The following is a 20,624-nucleotide window of genomic DNA, read 5'->3' on the forward strand; positions in this document are numbered from 1 at the left end:
GATCTTTTTAAAAAATTATTTTAATGAGTCTGATATTCTAAAGGAAGCGTAGACCATAAGTATTGGAAAAAAGTGGCCATTTTGTCACAAATTTATATATAGTGTAGGAAACAGATGTTCAGTGGAAAAGCCACTGAAAGAGCTTTTGGTGCTCTTTGTATAAAACATACTTGTTTAAGTTTCATTTAGAGGAAATGCATTAGCTTCAAGATAGATCCCATTAAGTTCATTATGACTAGTTTATATAGCATTTTGCAGAGCCTTTTATTTTAAATAAATCCACTGCTGGTATATTTTTGATTTCCTTAAACTTTGATGACTTTGTGATGCTAATGAAATTAAGGTCAAAATTATATAATTGCATAACTAGGATTTAAAATTATTATTCAAGGGAATAGTGTGGGTCACATGAGACAATAAATGATAGAATGTGGAATGAGATTGCTAAGAAAACATTGCCTTTAGAAGATGTAAAACATCCTACTAATGGTTGTAGGTTTGTTGCCTCATTATAGTAACCACAATTTTTATTATGAAAAATACACTGTAAGGTGCCAACTACTGCCCTTACTGCAAGGGACCTATGAATAGGTCAAGATGGCAATTTTTGAAACTGCGTTTTTTGGAACCATAACATCAGGATGGGCAGCCTGGGATAGTGGTTAAGCACATGAACTCTGAGTTTAAATCCCAAGTATTGTGCTTACAGGGCATGTAATCGAACCTCTTAATGCCTTGGTTTTTCATTTATGAAATAGAGATGATGATTATGATGATGATGAATTTATAGCACAGACCTATGGGAATGTGTGTATGTATGTATGCATGTGTATTCTGAATACATATATATATATATGCATATATATAGGATTATATAATGATAATGATTAATTTAACTATTTTATATAAATCAATTAGCATAGTCTGTGCTTTATAAGTATTAGCCATTATTATTCATATCTATTTGATTCCGACTTATTTTAATATATAAATTACTACTTGGCATCTAAACTTCACAAAATACTCAGAAATACTAGAGGCATATTAACTAGTATTTTTATTGATTTGCTTTTTAAGAAATAAATGTTGAATTTGAACTAAAAATATAGTTTAATACAACTCTTGTCAATTCCATAAATTGGGTATCTGCGTAAATTTTATTTGAAAATATTTGTTCCTTATTAAAGAAATAAGAGTCTAGCATTGCTTGCTTAAGCCATAAAAAGCCACAGAGAGGCTGACACAGGAGTCCCCAGCTCTGCAGAGGGAGTATTGTTGCAAATGTGTCTCCTTTTTTTCTGAGAATCCCTACAGACCTCTGACTTGACTCAGTTTGCATGTGTACTCATAACTGCAGTTATTCCTGACCCTGATTTTGGAATCCCAGGGGATTTAAGAAGGGATAGGGAGATTAAAAGGTTACATCATGACAAAGTGGTTATTCTAAATTACTCATTTCTGATTAGGGATGAACTCAGGTATTTGAACTGACCTCCCAAAAGAAAGCATCGTGGATTTATCCTTTCTTAGCCAGAAGGTCAGTTTAGAGCCCCTTCAAGCAGTGGATGGATGACCTCCTTTCCGTTTTCTGGTAGATTATCTCCACAAAGCAACATGAAAAAACTGTTAACTCATGTAGTAGATACATTGGCATTGATATTTGTCTGTGTTGTACCATCAGCTGAAAAATTCTGCTGGGATTTTCTTTGATTTAGGGTGGTTTTGTTTATTCAGAAAAGATATTATATGGATTAGGTTGTAGTGTTAGGAAAAGATACATTGATGTTATTTGTGGAGCTTGAAATTATTGAGTTGGTCAATCAACATTGGGTTCTTAGCAAGTAATGGCCAAGGGATTGTGAGTGATGGTTTTCTCTCACTATTTCACATTATGTAAATTCATATTCAACTCCTTAGATAATTGGACTCCAAATTATGGCCTGCAGACTGACTTGACCACTTGACATAGAGGCACCTGTGGTGCCTCTACTCTTTAGAGTTTCTGGAGAAGCCTGCATGTCTCACTTATGGATTTGTGATCCAGCATAACTTTTAAACCTTGTCTTGGGAGTGATATAATATGTATTCCTCTGGTGTTAGCTCTGCAGAACAAGGTGTGAACATAATGAATTTAGGGTCCGAGTTTATGGCAGAGTTTTCAACAATAACAGAACTCAAAAGAATATAACAACTGCATATTTTCCCACTGTTTGTTGAGAATTTAGAAAATTCTTTTCAAGACTTGCCTCAGGATTTCTGTAATTGTGTTAGTTACGTGATGATGGCAACCATAGTAAGGAAACACATGACTAATTAAAAAGCAATGTGGTCCCAACTGTCTAGACAGTGGGTGAAGATGTTTAATTTTGTGCTTTTAAACAACTAACAAGGGCTTTCAATATGTTTAAGAGATTAAGGATTATTCTAGTTTTGATGAATGGGAAAAATATAAATAAAAAGACCCTCCAAATCCCCTAAATACCAAAAACAAAAAAGGAAGCTATTGAGGGGTATATGGCAGTTCATTTGTCACATAGAATAAGCCTGAGTAATTGGGGAAAACAGCATAAATAGCTCCTTTAATGATGGAGTATTGTAGAAGTTTTAAATTACCTTGTTGTAGTATAAGACATTATTTTAAAATTTTACTTTGTTTATGACATAGTTTTATAGTTTCTCAAAAATATTAGAAAATAGGATTTCTAAATTATTTTTGAAATTATGACATACTTAAAGATTTGTTATTCTGTTAAAGACCCTAGAAAAATGAAATTAACATATAAAGATGTGCTTCTGTTAGAACAAAAGTCAAATTATTAAAAACATAAAAATTTATCCTCCCAGTAAGATATTTGACCATTCGAAAGGAGGAACCTAACTTAATTTTTAAAAACAAAGTAAGTTTGAGGAAAAATTAAAGTGACTGCAAAAATGTGCATTTGGGTTATACTTACTCATTGATTCAAACTTTTATTTTTGATCTTAGAGGAATTTGTGATGTCACTTATGGAAGTGGCTCTCATGATCTTTGCAGTTTTCATTTCCTGGTCAGTCTGAACCTGCTGTACCAGAAAGCTGAAGATCAAAGGGCGATTTGTTTTTTTGTGTATAAACAGGAGTTGCTGAAGCGGACTCCACGGAAACACAGTGACTATGCAGCAGTGATGGAAGCCCTCCAAGCCATGAAAGCTGTCTGTTCCAACATAAACGAGGCCAAGAGACAGATGGAGAAGTTAGAAGTTTTAGAGGAATGGCAGTCTCACATTGAAGGCTGGGAGGTACATTCACTTTGCTTGACAATCGAGCTTAAGATAGTTTTATGTTGCAGGCCTCGTGCAGAATTACTGGCGTTGGATGGAACCATAAATGGTCATTTTCTCAGATATTACTTGAGGACTGTAGTCAATTCTGAAAAGTGCTCACTTTCATCATTATTTTAAAGTATCTTTAAGGTGGTGGTTAATTGAGTTAACCTTGACCCAATAAGTTTGTGATGGAGCCAATAGATACTATGTGGGCTATAAGCTTTAATATTTTAGCATTTATGCATCATGATGATCCTGTTCCTCTCTCAACTTTGGCCATAAGTACATAGCCTGAATCCTGGGAGAGTGAAGAAGGGAAGGAAAGTTCAGTAGGTGTGCTGTGATATTACTTTCAGACTCTAAATTAGGTGTTCACTTAACCTCTTTGTTTTGATTTCTTCATTTATAAACTGAAGGAACTGGCTATGATCTTATTTTTAAGGTTTATTCAAGATGAAAATGTTATGGCTTCCTGAGTCACTAAGGAAATTTTTTTATGCCAAAAAAAGAGTATAGTTCAAAATCTGTAAAATGTTTTCAGCTAATGGTAACTTTGATTCCCAGTTATTTCATGCGGTTGGAGTCCTATGTTACTTTACCACTATGCAAAGAATGAACTAAAATTCTGTCATTACATTGCCTTAATTTATATGAGTATAAGCTTTGGACTAGGTTAAATTTTTTCTTTTTATAAAGTAAGCAATTAAGATAATTTTTAAGTGTAGGAAAGATTGAAAATGCTCCTAGCCAAATACTGTATCACATAAAACCAAGTGGATTGCTTTTATCTTTAAGGCTTTAGATGAATTTGTTTCTTACCTTTGATATGGTATTTTTCATTTGGACCTAAAATTATGTTCACCCAGATATGCAAAGAAACCTCAAACATTGACCTTAAAGAATTCTTCCGTTTGTCCCTTCTCTCCTGTGAATCTTTTAAAATGCTAACTGGGGTTGACCTAGCTGCTTCTTTGTCCAACTCTTTCCATTTCAAGTGTCCGGAGTGCCCTCATATTCAGCATGAATGCTGCCTCTTTCAGGCGGCTAAAATGGTTGTGTGTTTTACAGTTGATTCATGATGATAATTTCTTTCCTGGGGAGCTGTTGTCTTGCTGTGATGAGAAGAATGGACTCAAGTTTGCTTTTGGAATTCTGTTGTCACTCAAACACTGGAAGAAAAACCGAACTTGCTTTAAATTGCAGAATTTGTCAGTGAAATGTGCCAGGCCTTTTACTAAAACAAAAACTTCAGAGATTTTTTTCAGCACTCTAGGGAAATGGAATCTGTCATAATTTTGTTTCATCCTGGTGTATATCCTAAAAATTGAGTGTACTGCAGAAATGAGAGATTCCTTAAAAGTTATTGATATTGTTTATACAGTATACACCAGTTACTCAAAGGAAGAATGAATGTAGGTGGAACTATATCATATGTAGCCCACAACCGAGGGTGCCTGACTTCACCAGCTTTCGTGGTTTTACAAAATTCTGAGTGCAAGAGAAAATGGGGCATTGAGACAGAGAAAACTGGATGGAGTTAAGGAATTCTGTTGTGTATTCAGAGAAATTAGAGAGGAATTTTGCCACTTGTTAGGTATAAGAACTTGGGTAAGTTAAATAGCTGTCGTTTTTAAATTCTACAGTCAGAGTTCCAGGAGGCACAGGGGAGATAATATGAAAGTTGGGTTCCAAGAAAGTGGTTCTAAGAAGAAGTGGCAACATAAATTCTACTTGAGTAGGAATTGACAATGATTGCGAAAGACAGCCATACAGAGATTGGGAGTTTTGGGACTTTGAGGGAGTGCAGCTTGGAGCAGGGCCCAGTCAGTGGGTTTGGCAATTTGTGATAAGAACCCCATTGCCTGTCCCAGCCCACCACCCCATCGAGGGGGGAACTTGGTTTTCAGGCCTGGTCCCTTCTGGGGAGTTCAGGAGAAATTGCTAGTCTCATAGGACTCTCTGTAAGGACGCAGAGTCACACAGGCTGAATTCAGGCCCTGGGAGGAAGCTGTAATGAGTTAAAGAGCTGTCTTTGACTTGCTGATGGTGATCCTTGCTCAGCCTGCAGAAGCTTTGTGTGTCTGTGGAGAGGCTACCTTAGCGTTAGGACAGGGAGAAGTTCAGACGTAGGGTGGCATGACAGTTACAGAATGCAGAGTTCCCTGACAAGTTTTTGACGTTAGGAGTCTTGGGCTTATGCTAGGAAACAGCTCCCTCTCCAGCTCCTTCCACAGCCTCCTGCAGACCACCTTCAGGGCCTCCTTAGGGAGGACATTGTTCCTTCAGTAACTAAAATTCTATTTGATGGAATCCAAGTCTGATACACCGTGAATTTGCATTGTTTCTATTATGGGTGGATTATTCTCTCACTTAATTATCTGGGGACTTGCTTCACTGTTAATCAAATGAAAGCTTTTGTTTTAAACAATAAAATCTCTTAAGCACAATGTGCCTATCTAGTATTTTGTTCTACTAAATTATTTACATTCCTGAATGTTGAATTTAGGTAAACAAGCAATTGAAATTTCTTGTTTGCAAAACATATGACAGTGAGAAAAGGGTGGCTTTTGAGCAGAGTTGGTTTTTAGTCTGGACTCTAACCCTTTGTTTGGGGATGATATATAATACCTCTCCTACACAGAGTGCAGATTATTGCAGAAGTCAAATGAAATAAGTAAAAGTGCTTTGAATACTGTAAAATGCTATGCAAATATGAAGTGGTATTTTAAAGCTTTAAGAAATTTCCCTCGTTTGTCTAATATATGCACCTGTCTACTGAAGGTAGTATAGTACTTAGGGTTATATGGTTCTAAGCAACAGAAACTAAAAGAAAAATTAGTTTAAAAGATTGGGTAGCTTGCAGAGTCAATACAAAAGCTACAGTGTCAGACCTGAGAAGGGTGTCTAGGCAGCTGAAACTATTTGACAGTCTCATCCATGCCCTAGCTAAAGTGAATAAGCTCAAATAATTTTTTCCGTCTTTATATGACTACACTCAAGACTGAAGATCAAAATCCAAGATTCAACTAATCTTGCTTGGGTAAATTTGCTAAGGGAAGGGCAGAGGATCTTGACTGCCAGTCCTCCAGTTTCTTTTTGGGGAAATACTGATTCTCCATTGTATGCGTTATAATCACATACAATGAGTTATAATCATCTCCACAGTTGGCTGAGATGCTGTACTCTCCATTGAACAGATTTAAAAAATGAAGGCTATTTAACCTACACGAGTTCTTATAAATAACAGGTGACAACATTTAGCTGAAAACATTTAGCTGAAAACAGGCAGCTTGATTCTAAAGCTTATATTCCTTACTACGTGCTATTATATCCACTCAGATACAAATTTGGCAAATTCTTTGGATTAAGTTTGTTTTCCTGCTTGTGTTTTAAAAGTAAGTTGATTATCGAAATTAGGTTTTTGTCAGCATTTATGTGGTAACTGCCACCACAGAAAATCTATAGTGTATGTTTTATTTGTTCATTTTTGAAGTTATGCCTTTTATTAGTATAATTTATTATATCTCGGTCATATAAGTTATGCAACATTCAGAACATTCTACAAGATAGTCTACTGAAGGTAATTGTGGAGCACTGATTAATATGCCTTGGAAGAGAAGTTTATTAGCTGTTTAATCAGAGTCACTGATTCATTTCATAGAACAGGATCATGCTCTGTCTGTGTGTTGGCTGATTGATTATGTTGTAATGATAACTGTAGCCTTTGGAGCTATACTGAAGTATTTTGAAAAGGGAGTATCAATAAACATTACGTTGTCATTAATTCAGCTTTAAGTCCTTGATACGCTTGTTTGGAATTGATCTCTCAAATATGGAAAACACTATTACGATAAAAGATAAGAGAAGGAATTATTAATATATGAAGGTGTTGGGATAAATGAGATTCAAGATAAGCATTGTGTTTTAGAAAGTAAAGAGACACAGAAAGAAATTGGACATTTCTTTACTACCTTTTTACATGGAAAAATACAGTGCTACGGGACCATTTAAAAATTACTTCTTGTTGGTTTTGGAATCTGTTTGCTGCTTCCATTTGATTGAGTTTGTGCCTGACAGTGTATTGACTTCAAGTCATGTTTCTTGTTATTTCATGGATGTGAGTCTTCCAGAGCTTAGTGCTGGGACTTGTTTCTTTTTGTCCTCTGTACGAGGTGATTTGGCAGATACAAATTCATCTTCTACCTTGAGATAGAATTGATTTATATATAGTCATATAGTCTTTGTTATTTGAGGATAAGTGGTTCTGGAAAAAGACCACTGAAAATGAATCCAGTTTAAAAGAGGCGCAAAATTTCAATGAAGTGGAAGGGGGGAAGGTTTGATGGGACTTTATCTTAGTAAAATGAAAATTTATGTTATTTGTTTTGTATGTCACAGAAATCAGATTATAATTTTAGTTAATAGTTTTAACCTCAAAAAGAGCAAATCAAATCCTGAGTCTTTTTTGGGGAGGGTCAAACATTTTATGATAAGACAATATAATATTCTTTATCTTATGTTTGTTTTCATAGTATTTTTTAAAGATTTATCTTTGTAAGAATGTTCAAATGCTTCATCAATTTTTTAAGAGACTCCTTTGATATCAAAACTATTCTCTTTGAAGCACATTCTAGTTGTCAGTCTTGTCAATTTTCTTTTCTTCCACTGTGAATGCATCTAGCTCGGTTAGATCTTTGTCTGCTGATGCATTGTATACGAGTGGGGATGTTTCAAGGCCTCCTGTCATCTTTCATCTTTTCCAAGATTGTAATTTCTCTCTGCAGTCAGTTCATACATATATGTGGTTAAACAGTTCTTAATGATTTTTGCCTGCCATTATCCTAGAGATAATGCACAGATTTAAATCATGGGAAATCAGCAGCATGGTGGGTGTTCTTCAGAGTTTAAAAGATAAATGCAGTATAAAGGAAAATGCTGTAAGCTGCTGTGTTAGGATAATATTTTTAGACAAATCTGCACATTTTGACATAGAATCCTTTAGTACATTAACAATTCTTAGGGAATTATTTAATTACTCAAGGAAGATATTTCATGCCATGATGGTAGATTACTGTGGTAGAAGATGGTGAAAGGTGATATTGCACTAATTCTTGAAGCCTGCTTTAAGTGTTAAAGGTACATCATCTCAGTGACAGAAGCATTTCAGTCAGATTCAGTAAAACACAATCTGACCGAAGTTATATGTATATTGTGAGATACACTTTGCGGCATAACCATGAATTCTAGAAGCTGTCAGTGGTTGTGCTTGTCCTTGTTTACTAAAAATTTGATTAATAATTGACTAAACTGATGGTTTGGGTTGCTTATGAAAAGAAATGTTGACCTTAAAGAGGTCAGTCAATCGTACTCTTTTTTGATCAGGAGTGAGGAGCTGATGGGGACTTATAATAATGCCTTAGATAGAATAGGTCTGTATATTAGCAAGGGGCTTGAGAGTTTCTTGTATCAATTTGGACAGGTGATTCAAAAAGTCAAACGAACGAACAGGATGGAGGAAAAAGACCTAGCGGTTTGATTGATTGTAGCAGCACTTTCAATCAGTTGTAAGATAACGATGTCATAATAGTTAGCTCAATTTTATACAAAATACTCCTTGCATTTATTAAGAAAGATAATTATCAAGAAGTCAGGAAATGTTTTGTTAAGAATGCATCTACTAATATCTGTGTATGTTAATTTGAGGTACTCGGGTGATTTATTTAATGTGAAAATTAAGATGATATCTGCAGTAACCCTTTCATAATGCAACAACTTATCATCCAGGGTTGGCTTATATGGGTCATGATAAGAAATGGTCTAAGGGAGGGCTATTCTGTACATTTTGTGAAATTGCTATAAATTAATACCACTTTGCTTAATGAACACATGATAAAGTACATGAAATTCTGTAATTTTTTTTTTCTCCAAATCTTCATTTGTATATCCACTTTCAGGATAAAAAGAAATAATAAAGGAACAGCCAGGTGTGGTGGCTTATGCCTGTAATCCCAGCACTTTGGGAGGCTGAGGTGGGTGGATCACCTGAGGTCGGGAGTTTGAGACCTGCCTGACCGACATGGAGAAACCCCGTCTCTTCTAAAAATATAAAATTAGCTGGGCGTGGTGGCATGCCTGTAATCCTAGCTACTCGGGAGGCTGAGGCAGGAGAATCGCTTTCCAGGAGGCGGAGGTTGTGGCGAGCCAATATCGTGCCATTGCACTCCAGGCTGGGCAAGAAGAGTGAAACTCCATTTCAAAAAAAAAGAAGAAATAATAAAGGAAAATGTCTAAAATTTGCAATACAAAGATAATCAAATTAATATAAAAAAACTTTCTGAATAATTCCCCATTTTGGAAGTTTGAGTTGTCGTTGTAGGTGTTAGTTGTCATTTTAATTTAAATTTTTACAATTGACCAGAGAAACTATTATCAGTGATTATTGTGGAAATATGAAATTTAAAATTAATGTTCTAAATTTTAAATATGAAACATTAAAACTAGAAGCATTGAGTTAAACAAAAATTAGAAATTTACTCCAGATTTAAAGAATCTTGATATAATTGAAACTGAAAGTCTCTTGCAGAGCACACATATAGATCTTTATGGAAAACGTCCTTTTTCATTTTTTTCTTTTTTTGGTCCAACTCAGTGCATTAGTTATGATAGATTAGGTTGTAAAAACAAATAGACTATAATATTTATAATGGCTCAAAATAGACATTTCTGTGCATCTCCCACCACAGTCCGATACTCGTGTCCAACTCAGGGGGCAGCTTTCCTCTGTTGATGATTCAGGGCCCAGGCTCCTCCCATCTTGTGGCTCCTCTTCAGTTCTAGTGGCCAGTGCTTGTGTTAAGAATTGCCTTTGTCACTAGTTGTATAATCTTGATGGGCATGCTATAAACACTTATTTAATTAGCTAGAGTGCCTTTGCCAACTTCTAATAAATAGGGTGAAAGGCTCTGTGGAAAGTTGCTCCCTTTAAATAATTTTTCTCTTTTTATTTCTTTTCTTTTCTCCATCCTAGGGGTGGATATATAAATTGAGACCTGCTAAAAATTTAGACAATTTCATGTACTTTGTGCCTGTGGAGGCTGTTTTTCCCACATACTGAGGAAAAAGAGAACAAAGAAAGAGAAATTATAATTGTTAACATTATGAATTAATTTGAAGTCATCTCCTTTCAACATGACATAGGTGACATGTATTCTATACGCTTGTGTATGTACACAACACACCTGGAAGGAGACACAGAATCTCTTAACAGTGGTTCTGTCTGCTCAGACTGATCGGGGGAAACTGGGGGGTTAGGGGCCCTCCAATCAGTGTATAACTATCTCTACTGCTTGCACTTTAGCCTGTGCATAGCTTGCTTCTTAAAATAAAAACAACCATAATTGTAAGTCGAAAAATAATTATTTACAGAAGTGTCAACCAAGTAAGCAGACATTAATTGCATTTCTCCTGACTTAGGGGTCCAACATCACTGACACCTGCACTGAAATGCTAATGTGTGGAGTCTTACTGAAAATTTCTTCTGGAAATATTCAAGAACGGGTGTTTTTTCTTTTCGATAATCTTTTGGTGTACTGCAAAAGAAAACACAGGTAAGATCCTAAGCAGGACACACTTCAGAAGTGGTCACAGTTTCTACCTTTCCCTCTGTGCTTCCCAGAACTCATCTATCCAGCTCACAGTTTCTACCTTTCTCTCTGTGCTTCCCAGAGCCCATCATCCATCAGTGCATTTCTTCACATATATTCAGTCTGCTCACTGGTTGTTCACTTCACCTTCTTGTAAAACCTAAACTGAAATGTCACTGTCATCTGATGATGCTGGGTCCTCAGAGCCCTCTTGAGGAGAGGTGCGGTTTGTTCCTAACCCACATATCTCAGGCCCTGGAGGAGAGGGTGGTGTGTCTTCTTTGCTTCCTAATCTTGTTTCCCAATCATTTCCCCCTCTTCCTTCAAGAATCCCAGCACATGTGAAGTTCATGCCATGAGTCTTTCCTCTCCACTACCTTTCCCTCATCTCCCCTTTATAGAACACGTAATATCTCACTGTCACACATGAATTTAGTGATTTCTCTAGCTCTTGCATCATTTTCTTTCTACCTTACTCCTGTTGCCATTTTGGGGGTGTTCAAAACTCACATGGATGATCTATCCAGAATTTTGGACCTGAAAGCCCACTTTCTCTTCACCTGCAATGAGTCTTTCTGCCATTACACCTGAGTCTCCTGTCCTAGGGCCATACTTTTACCTTGTCAATACCAACAGTCATAAAATTGAAATCTCCATTTCAGGCATTCTACTCTGAATATCATCCTCTATCCTCCTAGCTGTATTCCTCTGGTATTGTCACTTCAGTTATTCTGACTCCAAACATTGTCGAAGATCTCTTATCTCAAATTTTAAAAGTCCTTTATCTTGTGTCACACTGTCACCCTTCATAGCAGACTTTCTTGCAGGAGTTTTATGTTGTCACTTTTTCTACTTTCTCACTTGCTATTCTGGCATGAGCAGCATTCAACAAGATCTTTGTTCACTCTCCTCCACTGAGCTACTCCTATCAGAATCTCCATAAGAAGCACTACTGTGCTTCTTACTCCAGTGGTCACTTTTCTGCTCTTTAAGGTTTTGTTTGTTTTTGTAGCAGCCTGTAACTTAGCTGAGCAATCCTACCTTCCCAAAACACTCTCTTCTCTTTAATGTTATTATACCCCACTCTCTTGGCTGGATATTGGAGTGCTGTGGGGCTCTGCATTTGACTCGTTTTCCCTCTTCATATTCATAGACTCTTCCCAGCTGATTTTATCCAGTCCCATCACTCATGTCCCACATCTGTGTCAGTTGCTCTCAAATCTCTATCCTTAGCCCAACATTCTGGACTCCTACATCCTGCCTGTTGTGATGGCCATGAGGAGTCTCAACCACAGCATGGAAGAAATGGGATTCTGGGTTCCCCTTCCTAAAGTCACTCCTCTCCCAGCTTTCCCTTTCTATTGTTTTCTCAATTCCAAAAATTACGAGTTAGCCTTGGTTCCTGTTTTTCCCTCAACATCCCACATCCAATCCATTAGAAAATCTTCCTGCATCTGCATTGAAAACTTACAAACATCTCTCCACATCTCTCCATCATCATTACTACTCTGCTCCAGGCCACCAGGATCCCTCTTTGGTGACAACAGTTGTCTCCTAACTGACCCACCATATCTTTTCTTATGCCTCCACAATTTATGCTCTCCACAGAAACCAGAGCACCTTTTATAAAACAAATCAGATCATGTTGTCACCTTGCTCAAAGCCCTCATTGGCTTCCTAGAATAAAGTTCTTTTTGTTTGTTTGTTTTGTTTTGAGACAGGGTCTTGCTCTGTTGACCAGGCAGGATAGAGTGCAATGGTATGATCATAGCTCTCTACAACCTTGAACTTCTGGGCTCAAGCAATTTTCCTGCCTCAGGCTCCCAAGTAATTGGCACTATAGGCGCATGCTGCCACATGCAGTTGATTTTGTTTTTCAGTACAGACAAGGTCTCACTGTATTTCCCAGGCTGGTTTTGAACTCTGGGCCACAAGAATCCTCCCATCTCAGCCTCCCAAAGTGCTGGGACTATAGGCGTGAGCCACCGTGCTTGGCCCCACCTAGAATAAAATTCACACTCCTTACCCTAGTTTACAAAATTCTGCCTGGTCCAGCTCCTGCCTGCCTCTCACATCATCACATCCCATTTCTCCAAACACAATACCTCCCTCCTTCCTTTAGCCTTCTCTTTCTCCCATCCCTTGATTATGCCACATGTGCTCCCTTCTCAGGGCCTTTGTACTGGCTGTTTCCCTTCCCAGTGTGCCCTGTCCTTTGAGATTTCCATGGCCAGATTCTCTGTGGCTTTCAGATCTCACTTAAAAATCACTCCCTCTGTAGTGTCTTCCCTGACCATCCCATCTAATGTGGCCTCCCAGTCACTATCAATATCGGGAAAGCACTTGTCACTTGCTATTTCTTTCATTATTTGTTTGTTTACTTCCTGCCACCTTTACTAGATTAGACTGCAAGGTTCATGAGAACAGGGGCCTTACTGCTCCTTCAATGCAATTTCTCTGGAAATTGGAGCAGACCTGTGATAGACAGCTAAGAAACACAGAATCAATGAATGAGTGAATGGAACACAAACTAGTCCCCTGTAGAGCTTAGCCATCATTAATGTAAATAATTTGTGTTTAATGTTATTGACATAATACTATTTGTTTTAAAGCATGAATATACTTTTTTCTTGAGAATGTTCTTACTTTATGGGATGTTTCCTTAAACTCTTGGGAAAATTTTTTTGCATGTTGATTTTAAGCAAAATAGTAGAGTGACATTTAATTGAGAAGTTTCCTGAGCCTTTATGTACTTCACCCTAACCATATATAGGACACATTTGTTTTAGTGAAATGGTACCAATGGGTTCATTCAATTTAAAGGTAAAGCAGTAGTTGAAAGTACAGGATTTTAAATGACTGTTTATTCCAGGTTCAGCATTTAGAAAACTATAGTCAAATATTTTCTGGTAGAGTGAGAATTAGAGACACAAAACCGATTGATTTATAAGACAGACTTAAGGGAGAGTTATTCTTCGTCTCTTATAATGAGTCTTCTTAAATCAGTTATCAAGATGCCCAGAGCAAGTTAGCAAACATTTGGTAGCTATGATGATGATATATGGTAATTCTGCCATGTGGATTGTAGTATTAGAATTCCCTAGTAAGAGACACTAATTCAAAAATGCAATTATATAAGCCGAGAAAACATAGGAATACAACATGTATCTTCATGAGAGGGAACAGATTAGGATTAGAGCCAAAAAATAATTAAATTGTTGACATCTCTATTCTAATGAGTTTTTTAAAATTCCTTTTTACCACATGTGAAAATGAATCTTTTATTATGCTCTTCTAGGTTCTCTGTGTTTGATAGCAAGATTGAGATTGATAGAAATTGGCTTTTGGAAGATGTAGGAGAGGTTGTTATTTTACTTGTGTGTTACTCGTTAAGAAACTGTAATGTGAATCAAGGTGTTTTAGTGCAATTATTAAAGGTCCCCATTTGAGAATGAAATCTTTTTTCATTAAAATTGATCCCATCTTTATCTATGCCTGCCATCAAGACCCAAATCTTTTGCAAAATTAACATTAGTGGACAAATCATGATATTATATGGTCTTATGACTGGAATTGCACATTAAACACAGGAAAAGTTTAACAAAATTAAAATCCTGCTATTTAGCAAATGCCCTTAATGAATGTATTATGTGGATCAAATACAGAGTGGTTAGAAATGGAAATAACAAAATAGTTCAACATGTCCATTCCCTTCCAGGACTGGAGAAGCTGCTTCTCCATCTGTTCCCTTCACTTAGAATACTTCACTCCTTTATGAACTTCACCTCAGCATATGCTTTCTAAGATATAGAGATCTTTCAGAAAATATGAGTAAAGGGAGCCTTTTACAAACTTCCATAATGTTGTAATTATATGAACTAGAGACTTGATGAATTTAATTCTAGAATTACATTCTTTAAATAACAGAGTGCTAGATTAGGCATCCTTGCTCTGGATATTTCTAATATTATTAATCTCAGGAGAAACTAGTTTTTTAAAAAGTTATGATGTAGTATTTGATACGTATAACATGATATTGCTTAGTTTGGCTTGTTTAGGAGTTTTAAAAAATAGTATCATAGCGTTTTTAGTTTCTTGCAATTTATAATTTGTATTCAACATAGTTTCTAAAAATATATATCCATTTTGTGTGTAGCAAAAATTTATTCATTTTACCTGCTGCATAATATTTCATTAGTTGAATGTATCACAATTTAATTATTCATCCTCATCAATGGGCTTTAGGGTTGTCCTGAATTTTTCTACTATTGTATACATTCTTGTATATGTGTCCTGGTGACCATTGCAACACATAATTAGGAATTAAATAATAGAATCAATACATTTAAATTTGCAATATTATAATATGCAGCATAATTATTTTCAAACTATAGGCTTTTCAGTCTTTAAGCTTCAGTAGAGTCATTTTCTGAAGAGATCAAAATCTATCTGAGCTAAGAATTATAGAATTGATCAAACACTTACTGGAATTTTGTGTTGAATATTAATATCTGCAGCCTAAGAGAAATATACAAAACCCATACAGAGTTCACAGTAAGATCATAAAAAATTGATATATTGAAAATAGAACTAAGTGATGGATTCTTATATATAATCCATGATTATTTTGCCTGTGACTAAAACTGTTAAGGATATTAAGTCTTTTCAATATGATTGGTTTTAAGTTAGATGTACCAACTTACAAGAAATTCTATTTTTCAAAACACCATGATATTATTTTCCAGCTGGAAATAATACCTGCATATTAGTTACCTGCATATTAGTCTGATCTGCATTCCTCTCTATAGTCAACCTCCTGTGAGGCCAATTTTCATAGCTACCTGGGATGAATTCCTAATTTATAGCATTGATTTATGCTTACTAATGAAGAACATTTAGAGGTTGCTTTCAAAATGAACATGGGGAGTGCAAGGTGATGAAGGTCTGGGGCTGACAAACTGTCCAGTCAGACTAATGAATCGATTTGCTTAGTTTTCTTTATAGAGATGAAGGACTACTAAGTTTGGATGAGGCTTGAGGACAGCTAAGTCAGGAATATGCAATTTTTTTCCAAGGAAGGAGCCCAGAGAGTGTGATAGCATCTGAAGATATGTCCCTGGCCTACCCTATCCACACCAGGGCAGGTATCTAACTGCACGGGATAGGAAGAGGGGGCGTTGCAGTTTGTGTACAGCTACATCTTAACTTGTGCTAGGTGTGTCTACATAACACAACACATTAATCATTATTTGACTATATAAAATTATTAGCCAGATTTTGTCACTGAGTCCCATTGAATAGTCTAGGTCAATGGAAATCTCTTGAGTGACTAGGTATTTTTTAATCCCCTTGAATCATTTCTTAGAATTTTTCCTGTTTAATTTAATGAAAGAAAAACATTGAAAAAATATTTTTCCTGTGTGCTTAATGATTCAAATACAAACATATATGACTTCCTAATTCATTGTTAGAAATGGTCATCTGTAAAGCTGGATTTTTGACTTTGTGTTACATACTTTTTAAGATTAAAAGCTGGCACTAGATGTAATATACACACAGTTTTGAAATGTTTTGGGTATTTTAGAAATAAATAAGGCCTTCATGAAGGATTGCAAAGGTATTAAGAGACTTGTTCAACAAGTATACAGTGATTATATTATAAAAATATGATAGGAGAAATATTTTTATAGCTGGATATCACTGAGCTTAAGAACCTCCAGCATAGCCAATTCTTTGAAGAGGGATCATAAGTAATAACTGGAAATTACCAGTTAGTTACTGAAAAATGAGTCATGAAGGTGAAAGAAACTCAAATGAAATTTTAAAATGGCCAGTTGTTAGTGTCTGTCAGAGTCTGATTGGGCACCGCTAATGTCTTATATTGAGCAAAAGCACATACTCACTCTCCCACCTGTGTACTATCCTTAGCTTAAAACTTGAATTTATTTTTAAAAATTAGTATGCAAGTTGCATACTTCATTAAAGCAACCAGTGCTGTTATGAATGGGAGGACAAATGGAAAGATCTCCAGGAGTCTAATGTTTGATATTGTCGATTGAATTGGTGTCTTTTTTCAAAGAATTGCCTAAAATATATTGTTTTGACATTGTTTTACATTGTTTAGTAACAAAGTCTTTGTGATTTAATTCCATCTTAAGACGGTTGAAGAACAGCAAGGCATCTACAGATGGACATCGGTACCTTTTTCGTGGCCGGATCAACACGGAGGTGATGGAAGTGGAGAATGTGGATGATGGCACCGGTAAGTGATTTGTAGATTTTAAATGGGATGCCAATAGTAAATAGAAAACTCCTTTGTAAGACAGATTTCTCACTTGGATAATTCACCTGCCATGTATTAGAGCTTAGAAATACTTTGTTAGGTAAAGTGGTTGGGTAGAGAAAAGAGAAAGGTGAGATAAGGGAGGGGAGGACTACTGTGAAAGTGGAAAATTATATATAGCCAAAACACACTAACATGAAACACAGATACAGAGAAATAGCCGAGTAGTGTCCCATGGCATTCACGGGACTGAAACAGAGAGCACTGTGCAGAAAAGAGTTAATGAATGAATTTTCTTTAGTTATACTGTTTTATAAGCATATCAGTGATGTTTTGTTCCTATAATATATTCACTGTAAAATATAGCAAACTATAGATTTGTCTTAGCTATGTAGTTGTTTTTCATATAGACAGGTTGTCAATTTTCTTGTAAGCAAATTGTGAATGGAGGTGGTTTGTGTAATTTTAAGTTCTTGTTTTAAATATCTTATTACTCAAAGGTAGTAACTTTTTGCTTCATAGATTTGAAAGTGTGGGATTTAATAAGCTAATTTATGAAATCATGATTAGTCACAAACATTAAGTAAAGTTAAAATAAATTGCACTTTCTATTTGAAAAAAAAAAGTTGTCTCTAAAATAAATACTTAGTAAAGTGAATTCCATTTTTCCCCAATGATTTTAGTTAGAATTTAAAAAATATGCTTCTACGAGAAAAGACAAGATGAAATGCAGTATACTAACTGTTGCTAAATTTTAGTGATATTCGTTATACATGTGGGATTGGGACACAGATCAGCTCCCTCCACCTCTCACATACCTTCATTGTCACTCTGGGGTCCCAGAGGGGAGAAGAATATTTATAATCTGTCAGAAGCACAGAATTTCAAATGCTCACCTGTAGGCAATTTCTCAATACCATTGTTAGCATCCGAATAAATTGTCAGGTACTTAAAATAATGAACTGTGATTGCTGTAGGTAAGGGAAAAAGGAATGCAATGAGCAAAACTCAGGTGGTGCCTGAGACTGAGCACTCAGCTTTGGAGCCATGCTATTGTGTTCATCCAGTAGAGAGGTTCCTCAGTGGCTAACTGTGGGGTGGTGTGGAGTTGCCAGACAGTTGGCAGAGGTAGATATCTCATTTCAAATCCCTTTCTATGCTACAGACTGTAATGCAGTTGCAGATACTCCCGTGCTAACATGTGGGACCTAGTCGGCTATCTTTCCATAGCAGGATGTACACATTATTTTTTACAAGGTAGCAGTAATTTATTCTGTGCTTTCTAAGAAGACTATATAGTGACATTTAGAAATGTTATCTAACATGCTAAGAGCTGTCTTGCCTCTGTAACCTGCATGTTCAAGAGACTACCCAAATGCCCAACTTTGAACCTGAGTTGGGAGGAAGTCAGATAGTAAAAGAAGAACACTAAAAACTTCTACTCTGTTCTTTATTGGACCTGATTACCCATAATGGGACCATCTCTCCACTGTTGCTTAGGCGCTTCCTTTATTTTCTTCCATTTTTGGCTTTCCCATGGGCATAGAGTCCCTGGCCTTATTTCCTGAGAGATTGAATATCCACCCCTTATGTCCCACTTTCTCCCTTTACTCCCCGTGATGTCAGTGCCACTATTAGTGCCATCTGCATTGGTGATCTGACTGAGTTGTGATAGTGATTACTATGATTACTGTGCTTTTGGGCAGCTGGAGAACTAGATAAAGAGATGTAAGAGCCCAGGACCTTTGGAGGCATGGCCATAAAATGCTGTCTTCCCGTGTATCTGGGCCAGATTGTAAGGGAATGAGATCCTATGAAGGGTGACTTGAATTGCACAGATGGTTCTTGGATTCAATTCGACCTGAAAGTTTTGTTGATGCTAGTAAGATTCCAGCCTACAGGTCCCCAGTTCCTGAGGGCAAAAGCATTGTGGAAGGCAGGGCCTAAGACCTTGTTGTGTATGAATTAGAAGAAAGACACAAAATTGCAGGATATTTAGTTGTCATAAATTAGTTGTCCTATGGAACCTCTTGACACAAATTCGCAGGCTTGATTTTCTTTAAAGTAAGATGAAAACATTTATTACATCTTGTATTATTCAACTGGGGCTTTCCCCCTCTTTACTTTTTCTTGAATGTATATAAGCAGCATGTAGCAGGAATTTGGCTGTACCTGGTCACTACAAGGTCACTTAAAGAATTTTCAGCCTGCAACTGGATACCATACCCTAGTTTCCTGCAAGTACAATTTAGTTTTCTCATGGCTATATCCACTAGGTTCCTGGGGAATTGAATAATAGAAATTTTGAAGAAGGATAGGATCTTGGTGATCAATTAATGTACCCCAATAGCATTTCAGATGATCGAAATGAGGCCAGGTTTAAGAACTAACTTGTCCATGTTTACCAAGCTGACCAGGACAGAGCTGGAGCTAGAGTTAAGTTTGCTGGGCTTCCATGTACATGTTTTGTGACATAGAGAAGGACCAAGTGGAGAGCAGTGAAGGAACAAGGCATCAGCGTATGGAGGTTGGGTTTGGTTGCACCCAGAAATGATCTGGGTGCTGCATGAACTTTCTTCCTTTGTTGTTTCCTTGGTCATTTCCAGCACAGCATCTTCATTTCTTTTTGATGAGCTCAGGTTTTAAGTCTGCTATATTTTTTACTTTACACATGAAGCTCTGATGCAGATGGATCTCAGCAGAGCTGATTAATGTCCCTATGCCAAGTACTCCCCATACTTGGCCCTGGATAAGTTAAATGAGGGATAAACAGATACTATCAGGCTCATCTGTCATTGCCAAAAGAAAAAACAAGCACCTATACCATATTTAGTTATAAATAATAAAATGGATGAATTTATATATATATATATATATATATATATATATATATATACACATACATATATATATATGTATTTTTTTAAGCATGCTTAGAACTTTTTCCTTTTTTTAAATTGAGATGGGGTGGTGGTGAGGAGTCTCATTATCTTGCCTAGGCTGGACTTGAACCCATGATTCTCTCAACTCAGCCTCAGTAGGTGGGACTACAGGCATGCAACACTGGGCCTGGCACTTAGAACTTGTGATGGAAAATGGAATGGAAAAGTTTTTCTTCCATTTGAATTATGCAAATCCTGAGTATTTTTCTATACTCTATGTATGATAAAATAGTTTTCTAAGGAAGAAGCTCTATCAGATGACTAATTTCATTGATATAGCTCAAAACTTGCAGAAAAAATAATTGCACTTGGGATGAGACAAAAGTTTTCAGCCAACATGTAAACATCTTAAATCTTTTGATAAATAATATTATTGTAATTTTATTCATAATACTTAATGACTTGGTTTATATCATAGTTATATCTTAGTATAGAAAGAAATTTAAATGAT

At 36.2% G+C, this 20,624-nt stretch overlaps 1 protein-coding gene across 4 annotated transcripts in view; it reads left to right on the forward strand.

Moving 5' to 3' along the window:
- Positions 1-20,624, forward strand: part of PREX2 (phosphatidylinositol-3,4,5-trisphosphate dependent Rac exchange factor 2) — a 284,987-nt gene that overhangs the window by 75,335 nt on the left and 189,028 nt on the right. For all 4 annotated transcript variants that reach the window (NM_024870.4, XM_047422268.1, NM_025170.6 and 1 more), the window contains exons 6-8: positions 3,117-3,278; positions 10,779-10,912; positions 17,107-17,210. In NM_024870.4, coding sequence (NP_079146.2) covers positions 3,117-3,278; positions 10,779-10,912; positions 17,107-17,210 — 400 coding nt within the window. The remainder of the gene's footprint in view (positions 1-3,116; positions 3,279-10,778; positions 10,913-17,106; positions 17,211-20,624) is intronic.

The sequence above is a fragment of the Homo sapiens genome, chromosome 8 (genome assembly GCF_000001405.40).
Source record: "Homo sapiens chromosome 8, GRCh38.p14 Primary Assembly".
Classification (NCBI taxonomy): Eukaryota; Metazoa; Chordata; class Mammalia; order Primates; family Hominidae; genus Homo; species Homo sapiens.